This window comes from Homo sapiens, chromosome 1, assembly GCF_000001405.40.
Source record: "Homo sapiens chromosome 1, GRCh38.p14 Primary Assembly".
Taxonomy (NCBI): Eukaryota; Metazoa; Chordata; class Mammalia; order Primates; family Hominidae; genus Homo; species Homo sapiens.
The window spans coordinates 5,412,311-5,431,349 of NC_000001.11; the positions used below are offsets into that span (position 1 = coordinate 5,412,311).

Consider the following 19,039-nt stretch of genomic DNA (forward strand, 5'->3'; position numbering starts at 1 on the left):
CAGTGAGGCCATTAACTGGGGCTGTCAATGCAATCTACTATGGCATAGGATTCCAAAACAGTCTTCTGTGATCAGGGTACCGTGGACTGCTCAGGACAGCTGAAGCACAATTGTGAGACGTCGTGCAGTGAAAATCAAGACTGAAGAGTGAGGCTGTGACTGACACAGGGAGGACCTTCTGTGCTTCACCAGTTCAAGATTTTCACCTGCATTGTCCCTTCTTCCCAAGGCTCCCTGTAACACCATCGCTGATTGCCATTTGATGGTCTGCTTGAAGCCATTTCTCCTTTCATCACCCATTTGACCCAATAAGACCCAAGACCACTTCTAGCTGGCTCTGAACAGAGATGGGTCATCTTCCTAGAAACAGTCACTAGGACAATGCATTGTCACTTGTCCCTCTCATGAAACAACACTGTTTTCAGTGTTGGCCTTAAAAGCCAGAAGTGGGCCAGGCACAAGAGCTCACACCTGTAATCCCAGCATTTTGGAAGGCCGAGGCCCGAGGATCACCTAAGGTCAGGAGTTCGAGACCAGCCTGGCCAACACGGTGAAACCCCATCTCTACTAAAAATACAAAAATTATCTGGGCATGGTGGCACTCCTGTAATCCCAGCTACTCGGGAGGCTGAGACAGGAGAATCATTTGAACCCAGGAGGCAGGGTTTGCAGTGAGCTAAGATTGTGCCACTACACTCCAGCCTGGGCAATAGAGCAAGATTCTGTCTCAGAAAAAAAAAAAAAAAAGCCAGAAGTGACGCTAGAAACTCTCTTATCCAATTGCTTTCCTTCACAAGGAAGGAAACTGAGTCCTCGAGAGGGGAACTAACCCACCCAAAGTCACAAGGCCACCTGCACCTGGATCTTCTGTCTTGTTACCCACAGCCTTTTCCACACCCCTGCTTGGCCCAGAAAGAATCATTCTGCTGTCTGCCTGACATCTTGGAAGTGAATGCCCCAGCCGGCCCCATTACTCAGTGCCGGAGCGTGCTCTTCAGCATGAGCTGTCTGCAAACTGTTCACCCTCTATTCCTGCAGCAAACCCTGTCATTCTGCTAATGCTGGATGATCAAAACCACAGGCTCTGCTGCTCTGACTGACAGGCTGGAGACGAGCCATGAGCAATGCAGCCTGTCGGGGTCACGGCCCATACAGCCCATCGGCCAGGCAGCGGGTGTTCAGGCCAAAACTCCACGACCTTCTGTCTCCGTGCAGCCGAATGTCAGCCAGTGTTTATCCAGGCTCAAGCTAGGGAGGCCAGTCTCCAGACAAGGGGATCCTGGTTCAGGAGGCTATGGAGTCTTGCTGTACCTCCATCCAAAAGTCCCTGCTTCCTGAGTATCGATGCCTCTGAGCAGCACCCACTGTACATGGCCATTTATGATACTGAGCAGTATCTCCAGCACCCTGGGAATCTGTGATGCTCAATGTTACTCCTCAGCATCTTGGGCATCTATGATGTTGAGTGGTACCCCCTCCAGCATCCTGAACATTTATCATGCTGAGTGGCACCCCCATTATCATGGGCATCCTGAACATTTGTAGTGCTGAATTGTAGCCCATCCAGCATCCTGGGCATCTATGATGTTGAGTGGCAACCCCACAATCCTGGGCATCTGATGCTAAGTGGTACCCCCTCCAGCATCCTGAACATTTATGATGCTGAGTAGCACCCCCACTATCCTGGGCATCTATGATGCTGAGTGGTGCCACCTTCAGCATCCTGAACATTCATAATGCTGAGTTATACCCCCTCCAGCATCCTGGGCATCTGTGATGATGAGTGGTACCTCCCTGAGCATCCTGGGCATCTATGATGCTGATTGATGTCCCCAGCATCCCGGGCATCTATGATGCTGATTGATGTCCCCAGCATCCCGGGCATCTATGATGCTGATTGATGTCCCCAGCATCCCGGGGCATCTATGATGCTGAGTTGTACCCCCATTATCCTGGCCATTCACAATGCTGAGTGTTACCCCCAGCCTGTGGGGTACTTGTGACACTGCTGCATATCTACAGATTTGTGTGTCTGTGTTCTCACTGGGCCATGAGCTCCCTGACAAAAGAAACTGTTGGACTCCTCCTCGTATCATCAGTGCCGAAACCATGCGTCCCTTTGGCAGACGCACACTGAAGGCACGGTGCATGAATGAATGAATGCATGCATGATGCTTGAAGAGCTAAGCTGGAGATCATGGTGTCCTCAGGCCCAGTGTTTACATCCAGCTTCTTCCCTCATGGGAGAGAAGCATAAGGATTGGAACTAGTTCCCAAATCTGGCTCTATATCTGAGCTCGTTGGAGGGCTTTGTAAAATAGTTTCCCAGAAACTTCCCTAAACTTACAGAATCAGATCTGTAGGAGTGCAGACCCCAGAATCTGTAGTTTGAGAAGATTCCCCAGGGAGATGTTCTCAGGCAGGGCCATGGAGCGGCCCTTGGGAAGCCTGGGGACAGCATTGAGCATGCTCCTGCCGCAGCTCAAGCAAGAGAAAACTGGGCTTGGGTCAATGAGAGGCCAGCCATCCCCCAGGGCAATGGCTCCCAGCCGTGGCTCCACAGACCCTGGGGTGAACACTATAGTATAGACAGACAGACAGCACCTGCACTGGGCTGCGTCTGACTCCAAGGCAGGTCTTGTTTTCTCCATCGAGCACTCAACAACATCCAGCAGTGAGAGGAATCAGACCACAGGCCTCACAGTTGCAATCGGCACCGTGACCAGTAGAAGTAGACCTCTCTTTGAGCACAGCTAAATTTGAAAATACATCTCCACGGCAGAAAGAATTCAGTCTATGATGGAGGCTTGGCCTGGGAGGTGGAGTCGCACAGTAGCTGAGAGTACGGAGCTTTAGGATCAAACCTCCCTGATTCCAAGTCCCGGCACGACTGTTTACCAGCCCTGTGACCTTGAGCAAGTCACACAGCCCAGGGCAAGTCACAGGACCTCTCTCAAACTCGGTTTCCTCCTCTATAAAATGAAGTTAATGCTCAGCCCCACAGCCTGGGCTGCTGTGAGGACAGGAAGGGATGAACCCACAGGGCACAGCAGCAGGGGGCTAACAGCATCTTCCTACACACGGAGCACTTAAAACAGGGGCATGTGCATGCGTGGAGTTTGCAAGGACACATCTGCTGTGTATGCTGACACACACTCGTGTGCACTGTGTGTGGTGGAGAGCGTGCCCCCCAGCCAGGAGCCCAGCACACAATCGCCAAGCAGCCTCAAATTCACCAACCAGATTCCAAACCAGCCAGGAAAGAAAAGGGGTTCTGAATGGGCTCAAATGCCTGGTCCATCCATGGCATCAGACAAAGGCCCGGCGTGATCTTGGCTCTGCCGACTCTGTTTGTGCCACTGACTCGCCCTCCTCTGTCTTCTTTGGGCCAGAGTCCCTCTCCATGGTGACCAGTTCCCTGGGGGAAGTTTCAGGCCCACCTTTTGTTCTCCTCCTCCTGTTTCTGGCTCACACAATGAGCTCACCTCCAGCATGAAGGGAGTACCTCAAGCTGCCCTGACAAATCTCCCTCTGCAGGCCAGCCTGGCTCCAAACATCATCCCCACACTCCCGCTTCCTTCAAAGCCAGTGCGGTTGCTCTGCGGATGATCCCAGCTCCAAAGACAGATCTGGGCAGAACTACACAGGAAGGAGAGATGGAGAAGGTTCTGGATACCAAGGCCTGGCAAAAGCTCTGGGACAGCTTCGCAGCTCAAAAATGCCTTCCTTCCTTTCTTCCTTCCTTCCTTCCTTTCCTTTCTTTCTTTCTTTTTCTTTCTTTCTTTCTTCCCTTCTTTTTCTTTCTTTTTCCTTCTTTCTTTCTTCCTCCTTCTTTCTTTCTTTCTTCCTTCCTTCCTTCTTTCCTTTTCTTTTTGAGACAAGGTCTTTCTATGCTGTCCAGGCTGTTCTCAAACTCCCAGGCTCAAGCAATCCTCCTGCCCATCCTCCCAAGTAGCTGCGATTATAAGCATGCACCACTGCACCCAGCTTTCAGAAACGCATTTCTAGCCAGGCACTGTGGCTGATGCCTGTAATCCCAACACTTTGGGAGGCTAAGGTGGTTGGATCACTCAAGCTCAGGAGTTTGAGACCAGCCTGAATAACGTAGGGAGTCCCCATCTCTATAAATGATTTTAAAATTGGCCAGGCATGGTGGCACAGGCCTGTGGTCCCAGCTACTTGGAGACTGTGGCAGGAGGATCACCTGAGCCCATGAGATTGAGGTTGCAGTAAGACATGATCACACCAGTACACTCCAGCCTGGATGACAGAGTGAGACCCTGTCTCAAGAAAAAAATACATTTCTGGCAACCTGCACATTAGCAACAGCGTGTGGTGAGCCTGAGTCTGCCCTCTTACCTCTGCCAGATTATACACTGGTACAGGATGCTGTATGATGGCTGTGGGTACATGCTGGACTACAGGTCACTAACCGGCTACAGAGAAGCCAGGATGTTTGTCAGGAAGCACCCTTACCTTCAGTAGCTGGTGTCAAGGAGACAGCTGCACTTCTGTTCTAGGTTGGTGCAAAAGTAATTGCAGTTATTGCCATTATTTTCAATGGCAAAAACAGCAATTACTTTTGCACCAACCTAATAGCAGACTCCAGCACAGACAGAGTCTTGGGGGCTGCCGGTTGGCCTGGCTAACCTGATGGTGCCAAGGTCTGATGGGGGCTGCTGCTCTGCTGCTCACTCATCCTTGCATTTCTGCCTCAGGAAATACCCAGGAGTAGGGAATAGAAACTTTGTCTGGAGTCCCACACCTGCCTCCTCACCCCGCCTCAGGCTTTGGTTCCTTTTTCCATGGTCCACCATCAAGCTCACTCAACAAACACAGGGTACTTAGGAAATCATTGACAATGGTGGTTTTGGCCTTGCTTTCTGCAAGTAACAGCAGCAGCCTCTACGGTGAAGCATCTCCTGCGATCATGCGAAGATCCTCCTAGGGTCATGCTAAGAGGTCATACTAAGTCCTCATTCCACCTGCAGATATTATTTATTACTGGCCAGGCATGTGGCTCATGCCTGTAATCTCAGCACTTTGGGAGGCTGAGGCAGGCAGATCACCTGAAGTCAGGAGTTCAAGACCAGCCTGACCAACATGGCGAAACCCCATCTCTACTAAAATACAAAAATTAGCCAGGCGTGTTGGCATGCACCTGTAGTCCCAGCTATTTCGGAGGCTGAGGCAGGAGGATCACTTGAACCCGGGAGGCGGAGGTTGCAGTGAGCCAAAATTGCACCACTGCATTCCAGACTGGGTGGCAGAACGAGACTCTGTCTCCAAAAAAAAAAAGATATTATTTATTACTTATTTTATCAGAAAGAAAACTGAGGCTCCAAGAGGTCACTGAAGTCAAACCACCCCAAAATTTAGAGTCTTAAACATCCATGTTTATTAGCTCATGATTCTTGGCTTGGCCCCCTTGGCTTTTCCTCAATTCACCAGGGCTGTAAATGGCTGAGCACAAACTTGAACCACTAACCCCAAAGCCCATGCCCCTCTCCCCTACCCCATCCCACTTCCTAAGTCCTCCTCTTCAAGACTGAAAGAGCCTTATCCCACCCATTCATTTTCTACCTGAGGGGCCCGTGGCCCAGTGAAATGATGCACAGGATGTCTCAAGTTTGCACCTAAATCTGGGTTTGAAATGACAACAACACCCCTTGGTCCATGTCCTTCCCCTGGTCATCGCATCTTTATTTGTCAATGTATTACCCTGATGGGCCTTTGTGCTCTGACACCGCCACCATCTTCCCCAGTGGCAGGGAGATCCAGGAGCCAACGACAGGTCCTTTAAAGACCCTGGTGTGAAGACAATTGCTCCCTGGACCATCTGTTTCCTTCTGTGACTAAACTCACCACCAGTGCACCGGATTGAGTGCTGTGGATCTGTGCAGAGAAGGGTTCTCAGAGGTGAACGGGATTGGCTGGGAGGAGAGACGGAGAATCCTGGCATGTGGCACAGAGCCCGAAATAAACACCACGTCAACATCAAAGGTTCTCAATAAAACACTTCCTGGGCTCCTTGGTCACAGGGCAGTTCCATGGGGTTCAGAAGTAACTCTTCCTTCTCAGTATGTGGAGCTGCCTACCACAACCCCCCCACCTCCAATCGCCTCCTTCTCCCATCTCCTCTGGCAAGCCAGCCTGAAAAGTGCTGAGGAGACCCTCAGCTCCTATGTCCTCCAATCAGCCCCCTCTGCTTGGCCCATGTCATCTGTCCAGCTCAGAGTTCGGGGGACACCTGACACAGGCCACTCTGTGCCAGCCTTCATGCACTCAGCTGCCCTCTCCACTGGCCTGGTCCACCCCACACTGTCACTCAGCTGCCTCCACGGTGACCGTTTCCTAGGGAGAATAACAGGTTCTCTTTCATTCTTGTCCTTACTTGTCTTACTATTTATGGATGCACAATGACTCTCTCCAGCAAGAAGGACCCCCCTGCGGGTGCTTCAGCTTCTTCTGAATGTTCCCTTTTTCCGTGCTTTACCTGCATGTGTGTTGCACGTGCTTCTTCCAAGGAGCTATGTGTGGTCCAAAGAGGGGAACAGTTGGATCCATGTCTGTTCTGTTTGCCTTCATGCCACATTCTCCGAAGTTGACTTCTGAATCTGAAGAGTCTGCACTTTTGAAGATTCTTTTTGGGGAAGGGTTTGACACAACACCCGCTCTTTGCCCCATGCAATATAAAAAAAAGAAAGTGCGCCATGCAGAGATGACCGTGTGATCCCAAATCCTAGAATTCTTGTCCATTTTATCAGCAAAAGATTGGGGAACCTGCCCTTGTTGGTCACAAGGCACTAACTGCCTGAAACTCCGAGCTGAGATGTGTTTCATGTGACTGTTTACTTCTCAAGCATGTGAGTTCAATGTTGTATCCATACGAGTGGCCAGCTTTCCCTGCGCGGTGACAGGCAGACCCAGGCTGCCTTCCTCTGTAGATTCACCATTCTCAGGACCTTGGAACTCCTGCCTCCAGCTTAGGGGAGAACAAGGAGAGTGGAAACACCCAAAGCTGTTTTGAATAGCCTTGACCTGGAAGGGAGAAACATCCTACTCAGGGTCAACTGAAAAGAATTAGTTTCCCAGGCACAAGGGACCCAAGGAGGCCCAAGGAAGGTGTCTTCAGATGAGATGGCTACTTCCCAGGGCCAATTCAGCACTGGGGAAGGGAGAGAGAGGACATGCATTTTTGTGGTCTCTGCCACAGAGTTACCTGCAAATCTTGCTTACAATACAGAGTGGAAATATGGCCTGGGACCTTCCCAGTGCAAACCACAGATCTTGATTTTCATGGAGTTACAACCGGACCCTGTGCAGCCCATTGACTGGGTGCTGCCCAGTGAGGACTCACCTGCCTGACCAAGAAGCCCACTGGGGTTCATCGCCCAGGGCCTGCCTCGGTAGGGATCCTGCCCACCCTCATTTACCTGGTGCCAGGCTGGTCCAAGGCACACCCAGGGCTGGCTAGGCATATGCACTCCCTGGAGGCCTCTGCAGACTCGTGCTCAGTGACCACAAGCTCCAGATGACACTGCTGAAATCCAGCCTTTGATTCCCTGATTCAAGTTCATGGCCTGATCCAGGCCCAGGAAGAATCCACCTGACCCTTCCCCTTCTTCCCTTCCTCAGGGTCCCATCATCTCACCTTTCTGGTGCCTTGTCCTTTTTGTTTGTCATTTGGTCACACTTTCCTCTCACACATTCCCCCAAAATATCAAGCACCATGTGGAAAATCTGAAAGGCGTATCCTCATCGAGAACCTCCCAGCCTTGGGGTTGTGTTCTTGGCCAGAGCACCTCAATTTCCTCCCTCCTTGGGGCAGGCTCCCGACACCTTGTCCCCACCCTCTTTGTACCCACGTAACTTCATGCAGAACATTCTGGCTGTGTTGGGAATGAGAAGCAAATGGCTAAAGTAAGACAGTCGGTGGAAGACTGCACCCAAGTTCTTCCTGTGCTTAATAAAGCTGATTTTTTTTCCTTGCTTGAGCAATAATTGTGTATTGACTAAAGTTTTTCACATGCAGAAAAGTAGGTTACAAAATAAGAAATATATATATTAACTCTAATCCCACCAGGAAAATGTTGATACACTTACTTCTTTACCTTTTGTCTTTTTGGTATGGGTGGCTTTGTTTTAATGTACTGGAAATCATAATGCTGGTAGGATTTTAAAGCATATTACACTTAATATTGTGCTGTGGGCGTGTTACATTCGGTTCTATCATCCTTGGCCACTTATTTTGAGGGATTTCATAATATTCCATGGAGTGGGATTCTATGACTTAGCTACATCTGTCCAGTTTCAGTCAAGAAAACAGAGAAGCCACTCCAGGTATTCCAGCAGGAGGGTTTTCATACAGGAAATTTGGGGCTAAAATAACTGTTGAAGGGGCTGCAGGTGGAAGGTCAGGGAGACCACCACCCCTCTTGGCTTCCTGCAGCAGGGAAGTGGATGGTTTGTGGGGGCCCTCTGGGAAGCCCCTGCAGACCTCACATTCACTGTCTGCCAGCAGCTACTGCTGAGGGCGGAGCCTCCTGCATCTCATGTGGGTGCCTCTCCTGGGCAGATGGTAATCCAGGACCATGGAGGAGGGGGTGCCAGGAAACGCAGCTCCAGGCTATCCCCGCGAGGGTGCAGAGGAGCATGTGGACAGGATGGCAGCAGAGCCCAGTTGACCAATGCCCCTCCTTCATGTGGCCCATTCTCTACTGTTGGACTTGTTGTTTCCTAATGTTCGCTGAATTTCTCTCTCCCACAATACCATCAGGAGTATTTCTCTGGGGGAGTCCCGGTCTCCTTGGTGAGCTTCCATCACTGGAATGCATGCCTCCTTATCATGGAGGATTCCCAGAGGAACCCCTGTTTTCTCTGGTCCTCAGGGAGCCAGCATTCTTGTTCCTGGTGTAGGTGTGCCTAGCAGGTGGGTCCTTAGAGGCAGATCCCAGGAGCACAAAAAGGGACAGGTCCAGGAACCCAAAAGTGTGAATAGCGCCCTCTCTCCCTTCCCTATTTCCCACATCCATAGAAAGCCCATCTGAGGTCAGAGAAAAGACATCCTTGCATGACAGGCAGCGTGGGAGAAGCAGCTGCAGGTTTCTTGGATGCTATTGCCTGGGACCGGCAGTCCTTTCGGCTTGGGATGTTCAGGGTCTCTGCAAACACAGAAAACTCACTGTGAATCGCTGCTCCGTAGATGAATGCAGCAGCCCACAGAAGAGCATTTTTGGGGCTCTTCATTCAACTGTTTAAGTTCATTGCAAAGAAGGGAGAGAAGGTGAAGTTGCAGGAGAGGAAAAAGGCTGACCAGGGCTGGGCAGGTCTACAGTGCAGGTTTCACGGTGTCCTTCCCACAAGGTGTCTACCGTATGGCCCAATCTGACCAGTGGGCAGAAAAGTCTATGAGGGCTGAATAGTCTCAGTATTCACCAGTCTTCAAAGGCTGCACTTTGCTCTGAGAATTAAACCAAAACTCCAGACTCCAAGGCTCTGTGTGAACTGGCTCCTGCCCAGCTCACCCACCTTGTCTCCTGCCACTTTTCCTGGGGTCTAGACGCTCTGGCATGTCCCCAGTTCCTCAGACCCATGGATTCATTGGCACTGTCTCCCACAGATGCTCCTCCTTCAGCCTGGACCGTCTTCTACCGGTCACTTCATTGCTGTCCTTGGCACTGTCTGCCAAGTCTCTGCAGTAAGGTGCCTTCTCTCATGGCCTTCCCCTCCAACCCTGTCTCAAGCAGCCTCCACCCCCAGCAATTTCCTCTTTTGCCACCTCTGTGTTTCCTTCGTTCACAAAATGGGTAATTCCTCTGCTTTTCTAACTTCCCTTTGGGTTGTGTGTCTGTCTTCCCTTCATGACCGTAAGCTGCAGGAGAGCTCAGGTCTTGCTTGTTCTGTTTCTTTTGGACTCTCTAGCTCTCAACCATCCCCAGCTCAGAAAACATCCTTACACAGAAAGGATGGAGATGTGTTTGCCCCCTAGGCAGCAGCCAGCACAAGATATGCCGTCTGATTCAAAACATAAGAGGTGAAATATTTGGGGTTCTGCTTCCTGGGGTGAGTCTGGTGTGCTCAAGGTTAACAGAATGACGTAGCCACTGGTGTGGATTGAATTGTGTCCCCTTGGGGAAAAAAAATATCATATGTCAAGGTCCTAATTCCCAGCACTTCAAAACGTGACTTTATTTGGAAATAGAGTCATTGCAACGTAATTAGTTAAAACAAAGTTGTTTTGGAGTAGGGTGAGCCCTGATCCAATATGACCAGCACCTTTATAAAAAGGGGAAATTCAGACACAGACACGCAAACCTGGAGAACACCATGTGAACATCGAGGCGAGATTCGAGCAATGTGTCCACAACCGAGGAACACCAAGGACTGCCAGCGACCCCCCGAGCTGGAGAGAGGCTTGGAACAGAGCCTGCCTCACAGCCTCAGAAGGAAACGACCCCTGCCCACACCTTGATCTTGGACTTCTAGCCTCCAGAACTGTGAGCAATAAACTGTTAATTAACCACCTCCCCGCACCCCCGCTGTTTGTGTTACTTTGTAAGGCAGCCCTTGCAAACTCACAGAACCCTGTTATTCCCGACATCTGGGAGCACATCAGCTCTGGGCAGCTCCACTCTGGGTCCAAGGTCAGGACTCCCCGTCACAGCCCAGGCCTTATGGAGAGAGGTCAGGACTCCTGTGAGGCAGCACACCGGTGCTGCCCCGCCACCTGCCCTACCCTCTTACCCTCTCCACAAACTGGATCCTGTTGCCAGGCTGTCTCCCACCTGCCACTCCAGAAATGCAGAGAATCGAGAGTGATAGCCTCAAGGCAATCCCAGCCCTAGGTTCCAGAGTAGGGGTGAGCAGAAAGGAAAACAGGGCTGGGTCTCTGAGAGGGAGGCGGGGCTCACCCAGAGGGCCAGCCTTGGCGCTATGCCAGGTCCTCAGCCCGTTTTCATCCATCTACATTATCTCTGGCATGGAGAGAGACCGGGCTGCCTCCCAGACCACGGACAGAAGCTGCTGACTCCTGTAACCTCGCCCACTTCCTGTGCAAACTGCTAACGGCAGCACATTGCCGACAATCGTCCCTGCTGTGCCTGTGGAGGCTGCCCTCCAGCAGATGCTGCTTTCATTCTGGCTGGAAGTGACTGTCTGGCTTGAGTGGGGCATCTCTCCAAGCCATAACCCCATTCCAGAAATGTGATCACATCTCTAAAAGTGGGGCCTGGCAACTGGAGAAGGTGAAGTGAAAAGGAAGGGCAACATTTAGTGCCATGAGGTGTGGACGTGTGAGGAAGGCTTTCCCCAGGTGGGGTGGGAGTGGGCTGGGGGCAGCCAGGTCTGGGGTCTGCAAGTCTCTTTCCAAGTCCTGTTCAGAGGTGGGATCTGGGCAGGATGTCCAGGTGTCGGCAGCAAGGTCAGAGGCCCTGGCTCTCATTCCTTCCAATGTTATGGGAAACCAGTTTCCTACATGAGCAGGGATGGAGGTCAAGAGCCACAACTGCCTTTAACATGAGAAGCAGTGCCGAGGGTGTAATAAGCTCTGGGAACATGACCCAGTACAGCACCCATGTCCTCCTCACCCCGGAAGCCCTTGTGAGCCTCTCCCGGATGCTTGGCAGGAAGACCTCACTCCCCGGCACTCCTGGCCCTCACCTGGGTATGTCCTACGGCCCTCTCCTAATTCCACCATGAGACCAGGAGCCACAGGACAATGACAGCCACAATGGTGATAACCATGATACTTAATCCATCAACAAAAATTGCCAGAGTGCCTAATTAACACCGGACTTCACTCAAAGCCCGGGGATGCAGCAATGGATGGGACAGACACGCTTCCTGTTCTCCCATAGGTGACATTCTAATAGAACTGAGGATAATATCAATAACAGCTGGCTTTCTGGAGCCCTTGCTGTGTGTGAGGCATTGTATTTATAAGTACTTTAACTGCATGATCTCTGTTAATCTTCAAAACCACCTTATGAAGTGAGGGGTACGATTATCACCCCCATTTTACAAGTGAGGAAGTTGGCACACAGAAGTTAGGAGATTGGCCCCAGGTTGTACGCCAAGGATAGCTGGGAGAGAAAAAGGCTAGAATCCCAATTAATTGTTGGGTTATCACCTCTACCAACTGGTAACATGTCATTCTCCTCGTAGCCTCTATCCCACCTTCACAGAGAGAGGTTTTGGGCATGTTTAGAGAATCAACAGCAGTCCTCACCCTGGCCGTGGGTTTTGGTGTAAGTGTCTGGGGCTGGCACAGCCCCTCCTGAGGGAAGAGTAGCCCATTGGCTTCCCACCCGAGGATCAGGGCTAAGGCCCAGCCTAGCTATAGAAGCAGAGAAGGCTGGCATTGGGGCTACAGCAGAGATCCATACTCCGTAAGCATTTTACACATTCCCTCTGAGGAGCTTCTACAGACATTTGGGCTGATAAACCTGAAATCTCTAGAAAGCATCTAATTAATGCGTCTTCCCAAGTAGAATGTTTTAGTAATTGCTGTTCAAGCAACAGAAAAGTTGAGAAAGCTTTTATTACAAGTGCTGCAGGGACAGATAGAGATCCACACGGCTGCTTCTCGCAGGCACTGGCTCTCTCTCCCGCAACCTATTGACATCCATTAACATTCTTCCAGCTAAAAAAAAATGCATCTTATTCTAACACTCTCCGTAGGCAGGAAGCTGGGCATTGAATTACTGAGCCTGAGTAATTGCCCGTAGGCATTGTGATGGAAAATGGCAGAAATCGCAATGAGTCACAGGGTGTTGGAAAGGTAACTGTTTGGTGACGATAATTCTTCAAGGATAATTTCATTAATGGAAGTGGGAGACAAGGCGTGTGCCAGTGAATACTGTATATGTGTATATACATATCCACGGACATACATCTAGTGTTTAAAAACGGCTGAATGTAAACGGGTATGTATGTGTCTGCCTTTTTAATGAATGCCTGAACGCTGAATGGTAAAGCACCATTCAGAAGTGATTTGTGATAATCACACGGGGGAGAAATCCTTTAAGTGAAAGGAAATGGGAACAAGGATATTTCAAGCGTAGATGTGAAAAGCTTCTATTTGATTCGGGGCCACAAAGGATTCAAAAGACATCAAAGCATTGACAGACTGAATAGCTTCCACCAAAGGAAGAAGTTCCCCGCACTGGAATTTAACACGAGATAAACCAAGTACAAATCCCCGTGCTGGAGAAGGTTATTGAGGGAAGACACTGGGTGCCGGTGGGACTGCAAGGGAATCCCAAATCCTGCTCTGCCTTGCCCAGGCTACCCTCAGGTTAGATCCTCTGCATCTGAACCAAAACAGGCTTCTGCTTTGCAAAATGAACAGAGTTGTGTGCTTTGAATGAGGCAGCTACTCTGTGTACCACATCCGATGTGTTGGGATAAAAAAAAAATCAGACTGGACATTTATTTAGGACTAAACTTTGTCCACCTGAAGAGTGTCTTCCCCTTCTCCACAGGTGCACCCCACCTTCCCCAGCGCTCTGCCCTCTCCTCCCAATCAACACAAATGACACAGGGTAGGAAATGACAGTGTCCTTTGCAACATGAGGCTTCAGAATTAGAGTCTGGGCAGTGTTTTCATTGACAACCCTGATAGATTTTTTTGTTTTTGTGGGAGCCAGTCCCAGAGCCAACCCAGCCCAGAAATAGAGATATGGCTTTCACACTGAACTGCACCAGTTCCTATTATACTCCATGTTTTTAAATTGAGGTAAACTTCACATAACACAAAATTAACAATGAACCTACATATGTTATAAGTTCAGCTTTTATTTTAGATTTGGGGGTACATATGCAGGTTTGTTACATGGGTATATTGTGTGATGCTGAGGTTTGGGGTACCATGGATCCCATCACCCAGGCAGTGAGCTAGTTTTTCAGCACTTTCCCCTTCCTTCCCTCCCCGCTTTTGGGTGAAAGTCTAGTATCCAGAATCCATAAGGAACTTATGTACAATGAACCATTTTAAAACATACAGTTTGGTGGCATTTAGTGCATTCTTTGTGTTATGTAACCATCAACTCTGTCTTGTTCTTTTTTTCTTTTCTTCTTTTTTTTTTTTTTTTTTTTTTTTTGAGACGGAGTGTCGCTGTGTTGCCCAGGCCGGAGTGCTATCATGTGATCTTGGCTCACTGCGAACTCTGCCTCCTGGATTCAAGTGATTCTCCTGCCTCAGCCTGCTGAGTAGCCGGGATTACAGTCATGTGCCAATAGCTGGGATTACAGTCATGTGCCAACACGCTCAACTAATTTTTGTATTTTAAGTAGAGACAGGATCTCACTATGTTGGTCAGACTGGTCTCGAACTCCCGACCCCAGGTGATCCACCTGCCTCGGCCTCCCAAAGTGCTGGGATTACAGGTGTGAGCCACCCCACCCGGCCAACTCTGTCTTGTTCTAAGACATTAATGTCATCCCAAAAGGAAACTGTGCACCCATTAAGCAAAATCACTCCCAGCTCCCAGCGCCCATGACCACCAACTTGCTTCTGTCTCTGCGGATTTACGTATTCTGATGTGCCATGTAAGTGAAATCATGCAATACGGGAACGTTTCCATTTGACTGTTGTCAGCTGGCAGCATGTTTTCAAGGTTCGCCCGTGTTAGAGCAGGTATAGCACTTCATTCATTCTGTGGCTGAATAACACTCTATTATACAGTGTGGATAGACTGTACTTTGCTTCTCCATCCAGCCATTTATGGACACTTGGGTTGCTTCCACCTTTTGGCTATTCTGAGTGATGCTGCTGTGAATGTGGGCAGACACGTATCTGAGTCTCTGCTGTCCATTCTTCCAGGTGCGTCCCAGAAGCAGAATTGTTGGATTGTGTGGTCACTCCATGTTCGACTTTTGAGGAACCTGAGCAGAACTTGGACCGCTGCCCGCCCACTGGGTTTACTGGTGGTTTCTCTGTTCCCCTCCCCCATCCTGGTTCTGGTGTACTCCGAATGTCCCTTGCACTCCCTTCCACGGCCACACACTAAATTCAGGGAACATCTCAATGGCCGCATCTGGTCACAAGACATGCACCCATTGGCCCCAGCTCAGACTGTCTCTCTGGGATCTCAGGCTTGTGCAGTGTGAACACATGGCCAAGAGAGGGCAGGCAGAGGCACCAGACCCCCACTTGGTGCTGGTGAGCTGGTCCTCGCTGGATCAGCTGCCCAGCCTGCTGGGCCCAGGCATCCTTGTCCCCTTTAACAGATGAGGACTGAGGGAGACACAGCTGAGTAAAAACCACTGACCTGCCATCTACACATTGAGGTCATTGGAATGATGGCCACATGTCAAGGTTTTTTAGGCCCTTCTGTGTCTCAACAGCTTCTGGAGGTGCTGGCTGAACTAAGGCCAAGCTTAGAAAAGACAGCCCCAATCTCTGATTCCGATAACCCACCAACCTTTCCTAGTCCCGACCTGCAGGCTCCAGTCCCTGGGTCCTGCTGTGTTCTGAGGTTCCAACTGCCTTGTGCAGGGGCCTGGAACCCTGAGCCTTTCCCAGATTCCTCTCCAAGCCGAGGACCAGATCACCAGAGCCTTGAGTCACCTGGACCTCCCGAGCGTTTTCTGTGGAAGGAATCTTTGGCTCCAGCAAGAAGCAGAACAGTTGATTAAAACGTTTATTTTCCTGCGAGGAAAGAGAAAGGAGAGTCTTCGGTTTCTCCTACCTGATACCCTGACTATGGCTCCTGTCCCCACTGTGCCTGCTCAGGATGTGTCTCTGCTGTGTTGTTACCACAGCCCCCTGCCCATCTGCAGCAAGTAAGGTTATTCCCTTGCATTTGTGCAAGGCAACCAAGGAAACTAAAACTTTAAGGAGGAAAGAAATGAGAGATGATAACAGATTAGCAATTTGCAAATTATCCTAAGGAAAAATGTCCTATTAAGAAAAAAATGATGAGCACATGCTATTGAAGGGGGGTGGGGGACCATGGCTGGGGAGAAGAATGGACTCTAGCTCGCTGAAATTATAGTATTGTCCCGTCTCCAACTACTAAGGCTCTGTTCCCTGACAATACACTAAATATATCGTTTATTAAGCCCATTATCCTGCAGACCGCAGTTAGTCACATCTCAAACATTGCCACATTTATGAAAGACAGTTACAGTCATTTGCAAGATAATTACCATTTTAATCTCAAACCAGCCTGCAGGAGCAAATTGCTTTATAAGTAACCAGGTTTTCAGCATATCATGACGGAATGCCGTGCAAGCCCTCAGACACTTCGGGCTTGTTTTGCAATTTTCTACAGTGTGGGGAAACCTGCCCTCCTGGGGCTGGGTAGAGATGGGAGACAGCCTCCTGTTCTGCGCCTGAGGGTGGACACTCATAGTGTCATGCTTCCATATGTCTGCTTCCAGCTCTCATTAACACAGATGGGCGAGAGAGAAAGGGAGAGAGGGAAAGGGTGGGGAAGAAAGAGGAGAAACAAGAAGAGAGAGAGGCAGGGAGAGAGAGAAACAGAAATGGAGGGAGGGAAAGAGCAAGAGGGAGAGAGAGGAAAAGAGAGACAGAGAGGAAGGGAGGGAGGGAGACAGAGGAAGGGAGGGAGAGGGGGGGAGGAAGAGAGAGAGAGAGAGAGAGAAGCTCTCATTAACACAGAGGAGGAAGAGAGAGAGAAGAAAAGATGAGAACAGGGAGGGAGGGAAGGAAACAGGTAACAGAATTACCCTGCTTGAAGCTGGCCTAAAACAGAATCAGGGCATAAGATAGGGACATCGCCAGAAGCAATAAGACCCCCGAAAAAAGGTGAGGACATTGGCATCGAGACTAGTTGACATATCCATAACTTCAGCCCCAAATGCAGAACCTTCCTTGAAAAATGGGAGGACCTTTGTATCTGATGAAACAGCTACAGTCAGTATATTGCAAGGAACCATCCATTTGGGGAAGGAAAAACTGATCTGGAACTGAAGAGGATCAGAAGCTCCTGAGCGGGGGAAGCAACGGAGCAGGGAGGGGCTGAGCAGGGGTTACTGGGAACCACATGCAAGTTGGACGAGCAGATGAGATCAGACCGGGTGGAACCAAGGCCCCTGCTGTGGGGGTACGTCGGGCAGCCCTTTACCTCAGCAAAGCTAAGGCAGGCCACCATTACCTGGGCACCTGTCACAAGGTGCAGAAAGGACAGGTGCGGGATTGCATTATCATGAGTGGTTATGAAGAATGTAAAGGCGAGAGCTGGCAGCCAGTCACTTCCTGATTGGGAGATAACTGAAACTACTAGAATCCAACCACCCACCCAAGGTTTAATATCCTCTGAAATAATCCCACGGAATCATCCAGCTTTAGTCACCTTGACCTGACGGTGCCTGAAATTATCTGAATATGGGGAGAAAAGAGACCAGTCCCGGGATAGGAGGAGGAAAAACAAAAGGGGCAGGGGGTCTGCTGAGGCCGAGCCAGGAGGTGCATCCCAGAGCACAGGGTGGAGGCGGTCACCTGGGGACAGCGGTGATTCTGGCCAAGGCGGCTTCCCAGGAGCGGTTGGAGAGAGGTGGAAAAGCCAAACTCAAGTGAGCCAGGGGCTAAACCCTGGGTGAAGATCACAGCAAGTGTACAGCCAGGCCTTCCCAGCTCTGGCATCTTCTCCTGGAGACGCAGAGTTGGGAACAGAGAAAAGAGAAGTGCAGGTACCGTAATCCCCCTCACTGCAGCTAGCAATTTTGTGTTTTAGAATCTGCAGATTTTCAGCTTCATTTCCCTGAAACCCATGTCTTCTCTGGAGCTTCCTATCTCTGTTCAAGGGGCCAGTCCCTCCATGTATACAACCTGCATACCATGGTCTCCTCATCCATCTCACCTCCTACTTCATCTCCCTGAGGCCCCCTCCCCTTCAAAGCTTTTACCACACTCCCCTCCAAAGCATCTGACACCCACTTGGCTCTCCACTCTCAGTGCTGACTATATCCGCTCCCTGTTCTGCATAACACATCCCCCCAAATTTACCTGCTGGCAAGAAGGCTGACTCAGAGGGCTGGCAGGTGGAGTTTGGCTTCCGTTCCCCTCCAGGCAGCCTCTCACCCTCCCGGGTCTCTCTCCTCCAGGCAACCTCTCACCCTCCTGGGTGTCTCTCCTCCAGGTGGCCTCTCACCCTCCTGGGTCTCTCTTCTCCAGGTGGCCTCTCACCCTCCTGGGTCTCTCTTCTCCAGCAGCATGGCCTAGACTTCTTCCTGTGGCCGCTGAACTCCCAGAAGGAGAGACAACCAGAAAGCAAGTCGCCCCTAAGACGGAAGTGGCAGTTTGTACAACCTCATTTCAGAAGGGTCTGCTGTGCACTGTGGTCTCACACAGCAACCTGGAGCTATAGGAGAGAGGACTGCACACACAGTGAACGCCAGGTGAGAAGCGGGTTATTGGTTCATTGGGGGCCTTCTTGGAGACCAGCCACGGCACTTCCTGATTCTCAATGTAGGTGGTATGAACTTGTACTGCAGCTCTGAAGAAGCAGGGGCTGAGGCGTCCTCATTTTGTACCTTCCAAGATTCCTAGTGTGAGGTCAGAGTGCAAGTAGATGCTCAGCAAACACTTGTTGGAATATAGAGTTTTGGATTCCATGCGAGCAAAACTCACCAGGGGTCTAATGTGCCTGGTGCAGGTCCCCACCATCCCCCCACACCTGCCGATGATCCTGTCTTAGGGCATTTTCTGCCCATTACTTCCTTCTTTCCTCTCCCCGCATGTGTCATGAAGATGAAAGTAGGCGACAGCTGGCAGAGATTGTGTTGACACACTCAAGGTCATGGACTGTCCTCTCATTTGAGCATTATTTACCTAACACAAAGAGACAGACACAAAGATAATGCCATGATAATTTAACGGCTCACCCCTTTTGTAAAACTGCCATCGCTGGTGTTTCTGTGTGAAGGAAGACAAAAGATCCGGGGGGGGGCCCACAAGGACTCTCTCTTTTCTTCTCTGATTAATTCCTGCCTCCCTACCCAGGCTGCTGTTCCCTCCCACACCCACATTTCCAATAACAGGCTGAGGTTATTGCTAGCTTTTCAGTTTTAA

At 50.3% G+C, this 19,039-nt stretch overlaps 1 long non-coding RNA gene across 1 annotated transcript, besides 3 other annotated features; it reads left to right on the forward strand.

Annotated features, from left to right (window-relative positions):
• Nucleotides 3,379-3,673: a silencer, noted in NCBI's record as "tiled region #1516; K562 Repressive non-DNase unmatched - State 13:Ctcf". NCBI's record gives its function as "represses a minimal TATA promoter and a strong SV40 promoter by Sharpr-MPRA in K562 cells {active_cell/tissue: K562}" and the evidence as "EXISTENCE:reporter gene assay evidence [ECO:0000049][PMID:27701403]".
• On the forward strand, nucleotides 10,332-16,069 carry LOC124904590 (uncharacterized). Its single transcript, XR_007067026.1, has 2 exons — nucleotides 10,332-10,499; nucleotides 14,825-16,069. It is a non-coding gene; the product is annotated as an uncharacterized LOC124904590 (long non-coding RNA).
• Nucleotides 15,057-15,556: an enhancer, noted in NCBI's record as "H3K4me1 hESC enhancer chr1:5487427-5487926 (GRCh37/hg19 assembly coordinates)". NCBI's record gives its function as "activates a minimal SCP1, AML or CMV promoter by ChIP-STARR-seq in naive H9 embryonic stem cells {active_cell/tissue: H9 hESC(naive)}" and the evidence as "EXISTENCE:reporter gene assay evidence [ECO:0000049][PMID:30033119]".
• Nucleotides 17,585-18,784: an enhancer, noted in NCBI's record as "CDK7 strongly-dependent group 2 enhancer chr1:5489955-5491154 (GRCh37/hg19 assembly coordinates)". NCBI's record gives its function as "activates an origin of replication core promoter dependent on BRD2, BRD4, P300/CBP, MED14 and CDK7 cofactors, with strong dependence on CDK7, by STARR-seq in HCT116 cells {active_cell/tissue: HCT116}" and the evidence as "EXISTENCE:reporter gene assay evidence [ECO:0000049][PMID:35650434]".